This window comes from Homo sapiens, chromosome 5, assembly GCF_000001405.40.
Source record: "Homo sapiens chromosome 5, GRCh38.p14 Primary Assembly".
Classification (NCBI taxonomy): domain Eukaryota; kingdom Metazoa; phylum Chordata; class Mammalia; order Primates; family Hominidae; genus Homo; species Homo sapiens.
The window spans coordinates 134,949,647-134,965,702 of NC_000005.10; the positions used below are offsets into that span (position 1 = coordinate 134,949,647).

Below are 16,056 nucleotides of genomic sequence, written 5' to 3' on the forward strand. Positions count from 1 at the left end.
GTGTTGCCTACAATTAAAATCTGACGTTTCCTTTGCAGCGGCTAGAACAGTTAACAGTGTTCCACGTGAAAGTCTTGGTGAGACATGTAATCATGTTCTGTGGCAAAGAATGCCTTTACTTGGTGCACTAGACAGTGTTTATGTGATTGATAAGTCACCAACACCAGGGGAAGGTCCTGTCCTGTGACATGTGCGTGCTTGGCAATGATCTTGCCTTGCATTTTGCTTAATAATTTTCATTATTTTTAATTAAAGTTGAAGAAGTGCAGACTCTAGCTGAAATTAAGGTAGGTTGTGTTGCCGGAATCTGGTAATTACTTTAATTGATCACAAGATAGTTTCCTTGATCACCAATTAGAGTAAATTGCTGATCATGTTTCAAGACGTGAAGAAATGCCCAAACTGATTTATGTAATAGTGTTTTCATTTGTAATCAGACATAAATATCATTTCCTTCCATAGCAATTGTGTTTTATAAAAGAAGGGTTATAGGCCTACAAACATAATGGTGATTCATAAACAATAGATGTCTAATTCATTGAATTAGTAAAGGAAGTATTTAGAGGCTTAATGGAGATTGTACTGGGGAAATTACTTTGGAGTAGCTGGTGCTCATTTTCTTAGTGGGAGATATGTTCTTTTTTAGTGCATAATTAAAATAGTCTATAATCAAAATATAAAAGGCAGCTGATTTAAAGAATGTATATCAAAGAGACTTGCTCTGAGTAACGAAAGATTTGTATTGTAAGTATGTGCTAGAAGTCTTAGAACTTTAATAAATCATACATGTTATTTGACTGAAGCTGTATTTTAAATTCAGGGTGCTGTTAAACATTTCACAGATTGATGCACGATTTTTGTCTTGGTTTTGTGCATCTGATAGTCTTTCATAGTTTCATGGAATAAAATGAAACAAAAGGAACTTTAAGAAAAATTAAAGTTCCCAAAGAATACTTGATTTGGGGTTCATGGAAAAATCTTTAATTGCTGATGGTTTGGAGATTTCCAAATGACAAACTTCATTGGCCCAATTTACTGTGATTGTATTGCTTACATTCCTTAAAATGGTAGAGTAACTTAAAAAGTCATACTTCATCATACATTCATTGACTTGTTCATAAAATGTTTGTAATTTGCAATAGAGGAAAGACTGAAACTATTATCAGCCATTATACGTTATTTGTTGGCCATATGTTTGTTTGAAATGGCTGTGGCTCAACAGAACATGGCTCATAGACAAACTATGCTGTAAATTGGCACTAAAAACCCACCTAAACAGGTAGGCATATGTTAAGAAGTTAACATGAGCCAAAATATTTTAATGTGAACCAGGTTATGTACATTAAAGGATTCCAGCTCCCTTTACAGTGGGAACTTCATTTGCATGTTGTTCATTTTTTTCCCAAACTAATTTTTAAAAAATAGATCAGGTATACACATGGTACGAATTCAAAAGGTACCAAAGAATGTAGGAAGTCTTCCTGTTTGTGATTCTCAACCATCCAGTTCCCACTCTCCACTCTCCTCATCTTTCACCATTGCTCCCATCATTCTTGTATATCCTTCCAGAGATATTAATGCATACACAAGCATATAATTTCTTTTCTTTCCTTTTTATATGCTTCATGAACTATTGTTATGCATATATTTTTTTTCATTTAGTAATGTATCTTAGAGGTACTTCCATGTCAGAGGATAAATGGTTTCCTTGTTCTGCTTAATGGCTGCATAGTATTCCAGTGTGTAAATGTACCATAATCTTTCTAATCAGTTCCCTGTTGATGGAGATTTTGCTGTTTCAAGTCTATAGCTATTACAGGCAGTGCTGCAATTACCTTTCTTGTAATTTATGAGTATGTCTGCAGCACAAATTCCTAGAAGTATTGTTTGGTCTAAAGGCATGGACATTTTCAGTTTTGACAGATAATGTCAGATTGCCTTCCATGATGATGATATCAACTTATATTCACCAGCAGCATGTGAGAATACCTTTTCTTCTATATCCTCACCAACAGAATATTAGCAAATATTTTGATCTTTTTCAAGCTAATAGGTTTAACTTAGTTTTTAATTTGTATTTACCATGATTGAGATTGAGCAGTTTTTATGTTTCAGAACCATTTGAATTTCTTTTCTGTTATCTATTATGTCCTTTGCTCATTTAAAAAATGGTGGTTGGTCTCATTAATATGTAGGAGCTTTTTATATGCTAAGGAAGTATATACTGCAAATATAATTTGTTGTTTATCTTTTGCTTTTGTTTGTTGGATTTTATTACCATACAGAAAAAATTTTTTTTGCCTGTCTTCTTCCTGCAGTACAGAAAAAAATTTTTCGTGTAGTAAGATTTATCTATTTCTTAGTAGTAGTTTTTTAAAGTTTTCAGGAAATAGAATTTATAAATTTCTTGTTAAGTTACTCTTAGATTGTTTTTCGGTGCCATTTTAAATGATATCTTTTCTTCGGTATATTTTCTAATTGGTTATTGTTTGTATGAGAAGCTGTTGACTTTTTTTTTTTTTTTGTCTTATTCTTGACTTTAATGGGAATTCTAGCATTTCCCTATAAAGAATGATGCTAAGAAAAATGATGCTGCCTTTGGACTGAGAATATATTCTATCGTATTAAGGAAGGATGCATCTATTCCTATCTATCAGCATTCCAGAGAATGTTTTCAGTACTATTTCTACTTTTTGGAATTGATTGAGATTTTCTTTGTGGACTAATATATGTTTAATTTCTGTGAATATTTGATGAGCGCTTTAAAAGTGTTATTCTCAGTTTTTAGAGTTTAAAGTATAGCAATTAGCTCTACCTTTAAAATTATGTTTGTTTGTTTAATCTGTCATGGGTTAAGAGATGTAAGTTAGGCTAAGTGCAGTGGCGCATGCCTGTAATCCTGCCACTTACAGGTTTAGAGGCTGAGGTGGGAAGATTACTTGAGGCCAGGAGTTCAAGACCAGGCTGGGCAACATAACAAGACCCCATTTCTACAAAAATTTAAAAAAATTAGCCAGGCATAATGGCACTTGCCTGTAGTCCTAGCTACTTGGGAGGCTGAGATAGGATGGATCCCGTGAGCCCAGGAGTTCAAGGTTGCAGTAAGCTATATTCGTGCCACTGCATTCCAACCTGGGAGATAGAGCGAGACCCTGTCTCTTAAAAAAAAAAAAAAAAGTTAATTAAAGTCTCCAACTATAAATGTTTCTATTTATTCCTATATTTCCTACATGGGCTTATTCAATGCCATGTTATTATTTGTAGTGTAGATATTTGTAATTATTTAATCTTCATTGGTGGATGCAAATTTATAAATGCAAATTACCCGCTTCAGGACTTTTAATGTTTTGCCCTAAATTAGCCTGTTCAATATAATTTATTAACAAGTTTTTTTTTTTGCATTTGCTTATGTGCTTTTATTTTTAATGATTGAATTTTGCTTTGTGATCCAGCGTGAAAGTTTTCTCTTTATTTTGATTGGTTGGATTTATGTTCTTTACATTTATTGATTGCACAGATGAGTTTAGTCTTATAAAACATGGCAGAACCAAAATACTTTTTTCTTCCTTATTTTAAATTATGATATGGACTGTGTTTTCTTTGTTTCATTTTAATTATGTTTTTCTTTACTTAACTGGGAATGTTTATATTTTTATTTTGATTCTTGTGGATACTATTATAACTATATATAGGTATATAACTTGATAGTACCTTATGGATAATATAGTATATCGTATATATATATAATACCTATATATAGTATTATATACATATATATGTACTATTATACCTATGTATGGTATCTACAAGATCCTATAAAATTATATACCTATAATTTTACATAGAAAATATAGTCTTCTATTTCTGGCTGGGCATTGTGGCTCACACCTGTAATCGCGGCACTTTGGAAGGCCGAGGCGGGCGGATCACTTGAGGTCAGGAGTTCAAGACCAGCTGGGCCAACATGGCGAAATCCTGTCTCTACTAAAAATACAAAAACAAAAATTAGCCGGGTGTGGTGGCACGTGCCTATAGTCCTAGCTACTTGGGAGGCTGAGGCAGGAGAATTGCTTGAACCTGGGAGGCGGAGGTTGCAGTGAGCTGAGATTGTGCCACTGCACTCCAGCCTGGGCGACAGAGTGAGACTCCATCTTAATAACAACAACAAAAAAAGAAAATATAGTCTTCTATTTCTTTATATAGCATTTATGGTCCCCCCTCAAAGCAATATTGAAATAATATTTTCTCCTACTTTTTGTTCACTGTTTAATTTTAGTTTATATTATTTTTCAGTCCTAGTGCTTATGTTTAATTAATTAATTAATCAGATACAGAGTCTTGCTCTGTCACCCAGGTTGGCGTGCAGTGGAGTATGATCATAGCTCACTGCAGCCTCAGATTCCTGGGCTCGACGGATCCCCCAACCTCAACCTCCTGAGTAGCTAGGACTACAGGTGCATGCCACCATGCCCAGCTAATTTTTAAAATTTTTTTTGTAGAGATAGGGTCTCACTATGTTTCCCAAGCTGGTCTTGAGCTTCTAGCCTCAAGCAGTTCTTCAACCTTGGATTCCCAAAGCGCTGGGATTACAGGCATGAACCATTGTGCCCAGCCTTAGTACTTAAGTTTTACACATTTAAGTATACTTATGTCTCTAACTTGATCTTTCATCTTTCAAAGATTTTGTTTACTTTTATATACCTTCTTCATCTTGTCCTTTCTCTTTTAAACTCCTTTAATAGTTTATAACATTTGCATTCCATTCTGTAACTGTAATTCCCACAGTTGTTTTAAATGTATTCCTAGAACTGAATGAATATATTGCTTACTGCTAATACCTTTGGTATAGTTTCTCCATTCATCTCTTAGTTACTTATAGTTCATCCTTTAATAGTTTCCTCAAGAAGGATGAGTGATAATTATTCCCTGACTTATTGTATTTCTAAAATGTCTGTCTTTTGCATTTATTTTTGAAAAGTAGCTTAGCTGGGTATAAAATTCCTGGTTTTCAACTTTCATTTCTTAAAGTTTTTGTAGGTATTGCCCCTCTGACTTCTAATGTTGAATGTTGGTATGTGAATGTTTGAAGTCAGCAGAATCTTTTTTTTTTTTTGAGACAGGGTTTTGCTCTGTCACCCAGGCTGGAGTGCAGTGGTGCGATCTTGGCTCACTGCAACCTCTGCCTCCTGGGTTCCAGTGATTCTCCTGCCTCAGCCTCCTGAGTAGCTGGGAGTACAGGTGCGCACTGCCACATCCAGCTAATTTTTGTATTTTTAGTAGAGATGGGGTTTCTCCATGTTGGCCAGGCTGGTCTCTAACTCCTGACCTCAAGTGATGCGCCTGCCTCGGCTTCCCAAAGTGCTGGGATTACAGGTGTGAGCCACTGTGTCTGGCCAGATTCTTTTCATCCTTATTGATGAATTGATCTTTTTGATTAGATGCCAAAAGGATTTTTTAATCTTCCGAGTTTAACTTTGCTACAGTATATATATATATATATGATTGAAATATTACAATTTATAGATTTAAACCCTTTATTTTTGGAAAACTTATTTTTTTTTTAAATTTTTATCCCCAAGTGTTCTGAGTCATAGAAAGTTTTCTTAAATTACACTCTAATTTTGGGGGTTTCGTATTTTTGTTCAGTTAAATAGCAACAATGGTTTTTTTTTTTTTTTTTGAGATGGAGTCTTGCTCTGTCGTCAGGCTGGAGTGCAGTGGTGCGATCTTGGCTCACTGCAACCTCTGCCTCCTGGGTTCAAGTGATTCTCCTGCCTCAACCTCCCGAGTAGCTGGGACTACAGGCACACGCCACCATGCCCAGCCAATTTTTGTATTTTTAGTAGAAATGGGGTTTCACCATGTTGGCCAGGATGGTCTCGATCTCTTGACCTCAGGTGATCTGCCTGCCTCTGCCTCCAAAAGTGCTGGGATAACAGGCATGAGCCACCACGCCCAGCCAACAATGATCTTTATGTTAGATCTCCTTTGTTTGTCCTTACATTTATTCTTTTCTAGTTCTTCTAAACTCTTGTTGATTTCTATTTCATTTTGCCCATTTTCTGGATCCTGTCCTCTTGGGTCTCTTACTGGGTTGTTAGTGGTGTCTATTCTGCTTCTGGCTGTTTCTAGCTTTCCTGTCTTTTAGTTAGCTCAAAGCCTTTGAGCTGGAATCCCATAAGCAAGTAACTAAGACTGTAAAAAGAAATCTTTGAAAGAAGGAGCAGATGCTTTTCACCATCTGCTAAGTCAGCTGTTTGGCATTGTATCTTCTTCATTGTATTCCAGATAATCAAACTTTCGTTTGAGTTTTGCCTTTTTTCTCTCTTATTCAGTCATCTAAATTCCTTGGAGTAGTTCTTTGAGTGTATATTTTGAAAGAAGTTTTTAATTTGTGGATTTAAAAATACATATTTTGGGGATTGGTTGGTTCTGTTATATGGAAGAAGGATTATGGAATTGTCTTTTTGCTTCCAGAGCAGATTATTATTTTCCCCGGGGAAGAATTAAGAATAAATCCTGTGTAAATGGTTTATCAGGCTTTGTAGTATTTTATTAAATGCAAATATTATGTGACAGTTGAAGGGAAATATGCAAAGCTGAGAAAAATACAAATTTGAGGGGTTTTGATGTGTCATAAAAGTTTTTTAATTGTATGTAGATATGGTAGATGTTTTTTCTTTGATCAGTATGCCTCTTAGGCTGTGGCTGTGTTTCCTTTCAAGCCTTATATCTGTGATGGAATAGATTTTGCTACTATACTGATGGCATGCCAGTGGTCAAAGATTTGAGGACCACTTCTGTGTTCCGATCATCCACTTGATCCACTTGGCTAATGGGAAATGGCAAGGAATTGTAGGCATCACTTTAGACATTTTAGAATGACATGGTTCAAAGAAATTGTGGCCACAGGGTGTAAGAACTTGGGCAGTGACTGTGCACTCATAATTTCTTGCCATTAAGCTGCTTTCCCCAGTCAGTGTGCATCAGGATGTTACCCCACAATGTATTATCTGTTCGTTTGCTCTACATGTGCGAGTCTCTATTTATGACAACTGGAAAAAGGAAAGAGCCATTCTTCTGGAAGACAGCAACTAGAATCTTAGATTCTCAAGCCCATGGAGAGCTTTTCACCACTCATTGTGTTTTGTAAGGTTTACCTTGTGTAGTTTGGTCAGAAGCAGTAGTGACAGCAGTATGTGCCATTACCGATCTCTTATTCTGTACCAAGTGCTGTGCTAAGTACCTTTATATACCTTATCTCATTGTTTATTAGAATGTAATCACATGACTTTTAAAATTATTGTCTCCATTTTACTGATAAGAAAACTGAGAGGGCCAGGCATGGTGGCTCACGCCTATATTCCCAGCACTTTGGGAGGCTGAGACAGGTGGATCATGAGGTCAGGAGTTCAAGACCAGCCTGGCCAAGATAGTGAAACCCTGTCTCTGCTAAAACTACAAAAATTAGCCAGGCGTGGTGGCAGGTGCCTGTAATCCCAGCTGCTCAGGATGCTGAGGAGAATCGCTTCAATCCGGGATGCAAAGGCTGCCGTGAGCCAAGATAATCCCACTGCACTCCAGCCTGGGCAGCAGAGTGAGACTCTGTCTCAAAAAGAAAAAAGAAAACTGAGACTGATAGTTAAATTGCATGATAATTAAGTGATAGAATCAGGATTTGAATCCAGGACTCCCTGGCTCAAAAGGCCATGCCCTTAACAATTGCATTGCTGTCTATCAGTGATGTTGATTAGCATTGTACATCTTCTAATGCTAAACAAGAATAAGGCATTATAGGCAGAGTAGAAATTCTCCTTATACGTAGTTTAATGTGGGTTAACTCTATGTTTGAATAATTAGAACAGACTTTCATGGCTGGGCATGGTGGCATGCACCTGTAGTCCCAGCTCCTTGGGAGGCTGAGGCAGGAGGATCCCTTGAGTGATCCCTTGAGCTCAGGAGGTTGAGGCTACAGTGATCTATGATTGTGCCTGTGAACAGCCCCTGCATTCCACCAGCCTGGGCAACATAGTGAGACCCTGTCTCTATAAAAATAAAAAACAGGCTTTTGTCCCTTCCCTTCACATAATCTAGACAATCAGATTATGAGATGAGAAGGGCTGGGAAAGTGAATATTGTTTTTCCACAGATAATTCCATACATGGTCAAATGGATTTTGCTTGAACTTTCTCCCTTTTCCTATAGGGAAAACCTTCAGGCCTCAAATGTCAACATGGAAACTTTTATCCCAAATAAAATTGGCTCCGAGAGAGGTACCATAGTGAATGATATAGAATTGTTTAAAATGGCATCTTCTGTATTTCTCACTGTTAACTAGGAAATACACACTTAGGTCATTTGGTGATCCCAAAAACATGGCTTGACTAACATCATATTGGTTTTTCTGGATAGGGGTAATGAAGTTAAATATTTGTTTACGTGGGTGTAATGGGTATTGCCCTGTGAATGCCACTCTAACTTTGTAATTCATGTGCCATTACCCTAAGAGTCTTACCAAGTATTTGTGCATTCTGGAACAATAGAGACAGACTCTCCTATTGTTTGCAGTTACCTTCATAAAAAATTGAAAACAAACAAAAAAATGAGTTTTTTCCTTCTTCTGAAGACAAGTTTACCTTCTGCTTAACAAAATTGTTTCCACTCCCCGTGTGGTATAAAGACAGAGCCCCGTCAGTCCACACTTAGTCGTGTGACTGGTTTGCAGCCCTCTGCTCATTTCCTGGCTTGCCTTCTGCCCTGAGGTGGGTGCACTGTCACCTTGAAATGGCAGTGCAGGGCAGTAGCAGGAAGAACCCAAGCAGGCAAGCTGGGCTTCTGTTTCACTCTAGGTGCCAATAGTCTTTGATTTGTTCCTGTCCTGCCTGGGAGGTGAGATGAAGAAGTTGTTCATTTCTGCTGGTGCTTTTGCTTAAGACACCCTCAGGAGACCTTTTTCCATAGTCTTGTGGGTTGCCTTAGTTAGCAACCCAATCACTAAAAACAAAAGGAACAGAGCTGCAAGAAAAGTGGCTCCTAATATTTGGAGCCAGGTAGTGAGACCCAGAGCACTGGGTTGAAGGGAAATTATTCCCGTGCTATTTTGTAGAGTCTTGTCCTGAGGACAATTAAATAGTCCAGACGGGTCACTAGGTGAGACCAATTTCCTGGTTTGTTTACTCGAGCCTGATAGTTTTTCACCATCCAGCAGTAGGTCACAGTCCTGCTGCACTGTGACCCCAGAGGCCTGCAGAGAGCAGTCCTTTCATAGTTGATTTCCACAGGCTTCCCTAAGGATCCTTGCCTGCCTTTATGTGGTTGGATTGCTCTGTTGTGTCTCTCAGGCTTAGGGTAGAGGACAATGTCAGTAATTACTCTTGACTTCATCTTATGCAGGCATTTGGCTTTATGTCCCGAGTTGCCCTACAAGCAGAGAAGATGAATCATCACCCAGAATGGTTCAATGTATACAACAAGGTAACTAAACTGCCTTATTTGGGAATCACCTTAATTATGGAGTTTAAGAAACTTCTTTCTTCCTTGTCATCTTGTGCAGCTAAATGTCATTGTACTTAAGAAAGTCTTATCCTTTCTCTCAGAATCCCTGTGTATTATTGCAAATTAGTAACACATTTTCAGGTCTGCTCCTAAGAACAGTGAATAAGCTCTTTATTTTCATGCTTGTCTTTCTACTGAAGCTAATATGAGAAAGTTGGGCCAAATGAGGCTCCTGAATTAAACCGGAGTATCAGCCATGCAGATACGTTTCAAAACTTAAGGTAAATTATTGAAAGAAATGGTAGCAAATCAGATAGATATGGCCTCATTTATCTCGTTGAAATATTTTTACTCAAGAACTGTGCTTTGAAAACTATTAAATTTTGTATCCTGCGTAGGAAATGACCTTATTTAAGACAAAGGACAGACTAAAAAGTTTTGAGGGAACACAGTGAGAAGAACCTTGTTCCTCCCAAAGTGTCCTTGCCTTTATGGTCATGCCATTTGAAATGTCTTATCATCTAGATTTCTATGAAGTCTTCTCTGTGAAAATCTTTGAAAAAAGAGAATTTCACAATACTCACGTGACTTAATAGAATAACTCAGAGCACCTTGGTACCAGGCTAAACTTTTCTTTGCTATTTGCTTCTCTTTGCTCGTAATTTTGCTTTTACTTTATAATCAGTTCATCAAGAAACAGCATTCCATCCTTTACTCCCATTTCCCTAATTTAGAAATGTGCTTTTTTTTTTTTTTTTTTTTTTTTTGAGTTGGAGTCTGGCTCTGTTGCCCAGGCTGGAGTGCAGTGCTGCGATCTCAGCTCACTGCAGCCTCCACCTCCCGGGTTCAAGCGATTCTGCTGCCTCAGCCTCCCGAGTAGCTGGGATCACAGGCGTGCAGGGTAACTTTTATATTTTTAGTAGATACGGGGTTTCACCATGTTGGCCAGGGTGGTCTCAAACTCCTGAACTCAGGTGATCCGGCCTCCCAAAGTGCTGAGATTACAGGTGTGAGCCACCATGCCCAGCCAAAATGTGCTTTTTAAACGTTGCTGCTAAGATATTACATTTGATAGCTTGGTTTTTCTCAGTGGCCTGAAAATAGTTGATGTAATTAAAGTAACGAGAGTTCAATTGGAACCTCAGTCTCTCTTTTTATTTAAAGAAACAAGATTTGAGATTCTGGCAGCTGCATTGCCTCTTCATGGAAGAGAACTTTTTATTTCAAGGTGGCTGTTGAGCCAGGCCTAATGTAGACTATGCCCCTGGAGTTCGCTGGGTTTTGGAAATGTTTTGCTTATTCATAATGTAGTATTTTCTAAATCATTTAATCCCCCTAATTCTCAAATATGAATGTTGAATAATAGACTGATTTCTGAACTGCCAAAGGAAAATAACCATGATTTGCTGCTCAGAGTTTTAAAAACTGCTTTTCTTTTTCTTAGGTCCAGATAACTCTCACCTCACATGACTGTGGTGAACTGACCAAAAAAGATGTGAAGCTGGCCAAGTTTATTGAAAAAGCAGCTGCTTCTGTGTGATTTCTTCCAAAATACATGTAAAATCTTGTACACATCTTAGCTGCAATGTATGTTGAAGGAAATTTATGTGAACAAATAGAGTTGTTCTTTTTCTCTTTTTTTTAAGACAGAGTGTTGCTCTGTCGCCCAGGCCAGAGTGCAGTGGTATGATCTCGGCTCACTGTAACCTCCGCCTCCCAGGTTCAGGTGATTCTCCTGCCTCAGCCTCCTGAGTAGCTGGGATTACAAGCACGTGTCACCACGCCTGGCTAATTTTTGTATTTTTAGTATAGACAGGGTTTTACCACGTTGGTCAGGCTGGTCTCGAACTCCTGACCTCGTGATCCGCCTGCCTCAGCCTCCCAAAGTGCTGGGATTACAGGCATGAGCCACCATGCCTGGCTGTTGAATTGTTCTTAAGGCATCATATCTAGAAGCAAAGAAAAAAGAAAAATAACAATTTAAGTTGTGTAAATTGTTTGCCTTTATATATTACATTTGGTAAAATCAGTGCTTAAATACGCAATGATTTAAACTGGAACCTGAGGTATTTTTCATGCTATCTAATCATATACCTAAGATAAACCAACCCAGTTACTTATATTAATAATATTCAGAAAGAGAAGTGGCTTTTTTTTTTTTTTGAGACGGAGTCTTGCTCTGTCACCAGGCTGGAGTGCAGTGGCGGGATCTCGGCTCACTGCAACCTCTGCCTCCCAGGTTCAAATGATTCTCCTGCCACAGCCTCCCGAGTAGCTGGGACTATAGGCACGTGCCACTGCGCCTAGCTAATTTTTGTATTTTTAGTAGAGATGGGGTTTCATTATGTTGGCCAGGATGGTCTCGATCTACTGACCTCGTGATCCACCTGCCTCCACCTCCGAAAGTGTTGGGATCACAGGCATGAGCCACCGCGCTTGGCCAGAAGTGGCATTCTTAAATTCAAGAAATTGGGATGGGGAGTATTCACACATTTTATAACCCAGAAATTCAAGCAATTCTGGTGACTACAAATGCATTGTTTTGGAGAATAGTTGTAAGGTGGAAAAAGAATTAGGAACTCGACAGATAGTGAGTTTTAACTTTAAATAACAATTCTTCTTTTGTTTTGTTTTGTTTGAGACGGGGTCTCGCTCTGCTGCCCAGGCTGGAGTGCAGTGGCAGGATCACGGTTTATTGCAGCCTTAACCTCCTGGGCTCAAGCAGTTCTCCCTCCTCAGCCTCCAGAGTAGCTGGGACTATAGGCAAGTGCCACCACGCCTGACTAATTTTTAAATTTTTTGTAGAGATGGGGTCTCCCATCTTGCCCAGGCTGGCCTTGAACTCTTGGGCTCAAGCAAGCCTCCCACCTCTGCCTCCCAAAGTCCAAGGATTACAGGTGTGAGCCATTGCCCCCAGCCAGTATAACAGTTTGTGTGTGTGTGTGTGTGTGTGTGTGTGTGTGTGTTTGACACGGGGTCTCATTCTGTTGCCCAGGCAGTAGTGTAGTGGTGCGACCATGGCTCACTGTAGTCTTGACTTCTCAGGCTCAAGTGATCCTCTCACCTCAGCCTCCTGAGTAGCAGCGGTTACAGGCATGCATCACCACACCTGGCTTATTTTTAAAACTTTTTTGTGGAGACAGGGTCTTACTATGTTGCCATGGCTGGTCTAGAACTTCTGGGCTCGAGTAATCCTCCTGCCTTGGCCTCTCAAAATGTTGGGATTACAGGTGTGAGCCACTGTGTCATAACAATTATTTTAAAATTTTTATTTATTTATTTTTAATAATTATACAAGATGGAGTCTCACTATGTTGCCCAGGCTGGTCTTGAATGCCTGGGCTCAAATGATCTTCCTGCCTTGACCCCCCAAAGTGCTGGGATTACAGGCGTGAGCCACTGCGCCTGGCCTATAACAATTCTTATGAAGCTAAAGTTGATTTGGATTTTAGCTGCCGTTACTACTTATATAATTAATTAGATTAAACAAGTCACAAAAATTGGATGAGCTATCTTGGTGTGTTTTCTTTACTTTTCTCTTTCAACAGAGAGTTGAAGGAGAGGACAAGTGTCTTGTCTGTGGCTTCCAGGAATGTGTGGCAATATAAGATTTACTGTTACAGCAGCCAACTCACCAAGTCATTATTTGACTTACTGAGTTAAGGAGGAACTAAGGGTCATTTTCCCCCCATCATTTGCATGTTTTGACTCCTGAACTGAGGGTCTACGGCCACTGAAGCTAGAAGCTAGAAGGGTGTTAATCAGTAGTGAGCTCTACTTACTCCATGTGTCACTGACAGATGTAAAAAGGAATATCAAGTAATCTATTATTTAAAAATTGTAATAAGAGTGTTTTTTGAAGGAATTCAGGAATGTACTACTAACGAGATTATGATGCAGGTATATCCATCCATGAAGCATTTGTTAGTCCCTTGAAGCATCATGGTAGTGGAATTTAACATGGATCATCTTTGTAAACCCACCTCTCTTTAGGGGCCAGAGAAATCACTGTTTGTTACAACAAGCAAACCTTTCCCTCTCCATGTCACCCTTGCCCCAAACCTGAGAAACATATGGGAACATGGCACAGAGGCTGAGCTCTCTGAAGCCAGTTCCTGGCTGGTTTTGCTGGCCAGGGAGAGGCAGGTGTGGTCAGTTGCCCTGTGGACATGTGGTGTGCAGGGAGAGAAGAGGGAAAAGAGCCACTCAGGCTCTCTGGCTGCCAGGGGATCCAGACTCTTAGCACTAGAACTTCTGTTTCTTAGAATTCTTCCCAAGGAAAAGACAAAACTGTGTTTTTATAAGCTGGTTTCCTATAGTGTAGATTTGGGACTTTTATACATTTTATTACCAAATATTTTTAGTTAAGTGCTTCAATTTTCAACATTAATTCTTTAAAATTTTCTTTTGAGAATCATCACCTGGATTTACATGAATTTTTTAAGCATGAAAAAATTTAAACATATTCAAAAGTACATGAATAGTACATTGAAGCCTTATATACATATCACCCAGATATAAAAATTACCAAGATTTTGTCCCAGTTGCTTCATTTTCCCTGTTTCCTTCTTTGCTAAAGTATTTAAAAGCAAATCCCAGATAGCTTATCATTTCACCCCTATATCCTTCAGTAAGTTTCTATGGAAAATATGGCCATTTTCTTGTATAAACCACAGTACCTCTGTTTTTTTTTTTTGAGATAGAGTCTCACACTGTCGCCCAGGCTGGAGTGCAATGGCGTGATCTTGGCTCACTGCAACCTCTGCCTCCCAGGTTCAGGCGATTCTCCTGCCTCAGCCCCCCGGGTAGCTGGGATTACAGGTGTGCGCCACCATGCCCAGCTAATTTTTTTTTGTATCTTCAGTAGAGATGGGGTTTCACCATGTTGGCCAGGCTGGTCTCGAGCTCCTGACCTCGTGATCGCCCGCTTAGGCCTCCCAAAGTGCTGGGATTATAGGCATAAGCCACAGCGCCCGGCCCACAGTACCATTTTTATACCTAACAAAGTGATTCCTTGGTACACTTAATACCTAGGCAAAATCAAATTGTCCTGAAGGTCATGAATGTCCTTGGACAGTAATCTGGTTCTAATCGAGGATCTATATGAAGCCCACCAATCGCATCTGGTTGTTGTGTCTCTTTAGTCTGTCAGTCTGGAGCAAGCTCCCCTCCCTTCCTCAGTTCCCCATGTTATTTATTTATTGTAAAAACTGGGTCAGTTGTGCTGTAGAATATTCTGCTTTCTGGATTTGTTTGTTTCTTCCTGTGGTGTCATTTAACTTGTTTTACTATACCCTAAACGGAACCCTTTTCCTCTGTTTTCAGCAGAAGTCTGAGAGGCTAAACTTGATGGCTGTGTTAACATATGTCACGTGTAGCACAGTGGAGAAAGCAGGATATGGCTCATAATGACAGTGGTGAAGACCTGCGAATGAAGTTGCTAGTTATCACCTACATTAGGGTTTGACATAGGTCTATGTTATGGGTCGCTGCATCTGCTGGAACTCACAGACTTTACTATAGAGAATCAAAGATCCCGTATCCGAAGTCTATGGAAATGCTCATGGTGGTAAATTCCAACAGAATGAAACACCAAACTTGCTTAAAGTAACTCACGTTTCAATTTGAAAGAGATATTGTCAAAATTGGAGGCCCCCAGGTTCCTGTCTGTTCCAAATCTTTGCATGATGACAGTGGTTTCTCTGATGTGGTAAGCTTTGGCTTTCTTCTGTTTTCTTTCTAAAAGATCACTGGAGTAGAGAGGAGTTAAACAGACATGACCTTTGACCTCTTGCATGACCTCCACAGATAGCAAACCGGGCCGACACATGGTTGACGATGTCCTTTTCTACAATGAAGTTAATGAAAGTTCTGAAAATAGTGATTACTTTCTGACATTGATAGGATTTAGGAAACCTCTGGATAAATAGCTTAAGCATGGCTGTTTATGTTTTTGCTATAGACAAAAAGCAGCAGCATGTACATTGTATTTGGACACAAGCCTGCCTCGGTTAATATATTGAACTATTGGACCACTAGGGTTAGTAGGGAGCGGTCTGTACACTTTCTGATTCAGCATTCAGAAACATTCTAGGTGGACTCTGTAGCTTTCAGTTTTGTAAAGTTATCAGAAAAACATCGGGAGGGTTTGGCCATCATATGTGAGCTTTGTGTTTCAATGCCAGTTACTCAGGATTAGTAAATTAATGACTGTCCAGAGGACTTCAGGGTCACCAAGCTGCTGCACCTGCCATTGGCTGACTCTCCCCGGCTATCTGTGGCTGAGATGGTGCTGCTTAGGTCACGCAGAGCATGAGCTGCTGCTGAAAGGGCACAGGAGATGGCCCTTGGGCTTCTCATCCCAGGATGCCTGCCCTGCCCACCAATCCATGAGAAGATATGTATGATTTCAGTAGGCCCTGGATCAGCTTGTCACCTCTGGTTTCCTGTTTGCTTTCCACTCACTCAGCTGGAGTTTCATTTCCAGACTAAAGTCTTCATCATTGGCTTCAGAAACAGCATTCATCTGTGGCTGTGCTGATGTAGTACACCAAGAACAAC

The 16,056-nt window shown here is 39.4% G+C and overlaps 1 protein-coding gene across 1 annotated transcript in view; it reads left to right on the forward strand.

The window, feature by feature from the left end:
- The window catches only part of PCBD2 (pterin-4 alpha-carbinolamine dehydratase 2), a 57,514-nt gene extending 44,516 nt beyond the window's left edge, over window positions 1-12,998 (forward strand). Inside the window, exons 3-4 of the mRNA NM_032151.5 lie at window positions 9,394-9,474; window positions 10,940-12,998. Coding sequence (NP_115527.3) covers window positions 9,394-9,474; window positions 10,940-11,035 — 177 coding nt within the window. The 3' untranslated portion in view covers window positions 11,036-12,998. The remainder of the gene's footprint in view (window positions 1-9,393; window positions 9,475-10,939) is intronic.
- Window positions 12,999-16,056: the final 3,058 nt, after the last annotated feature.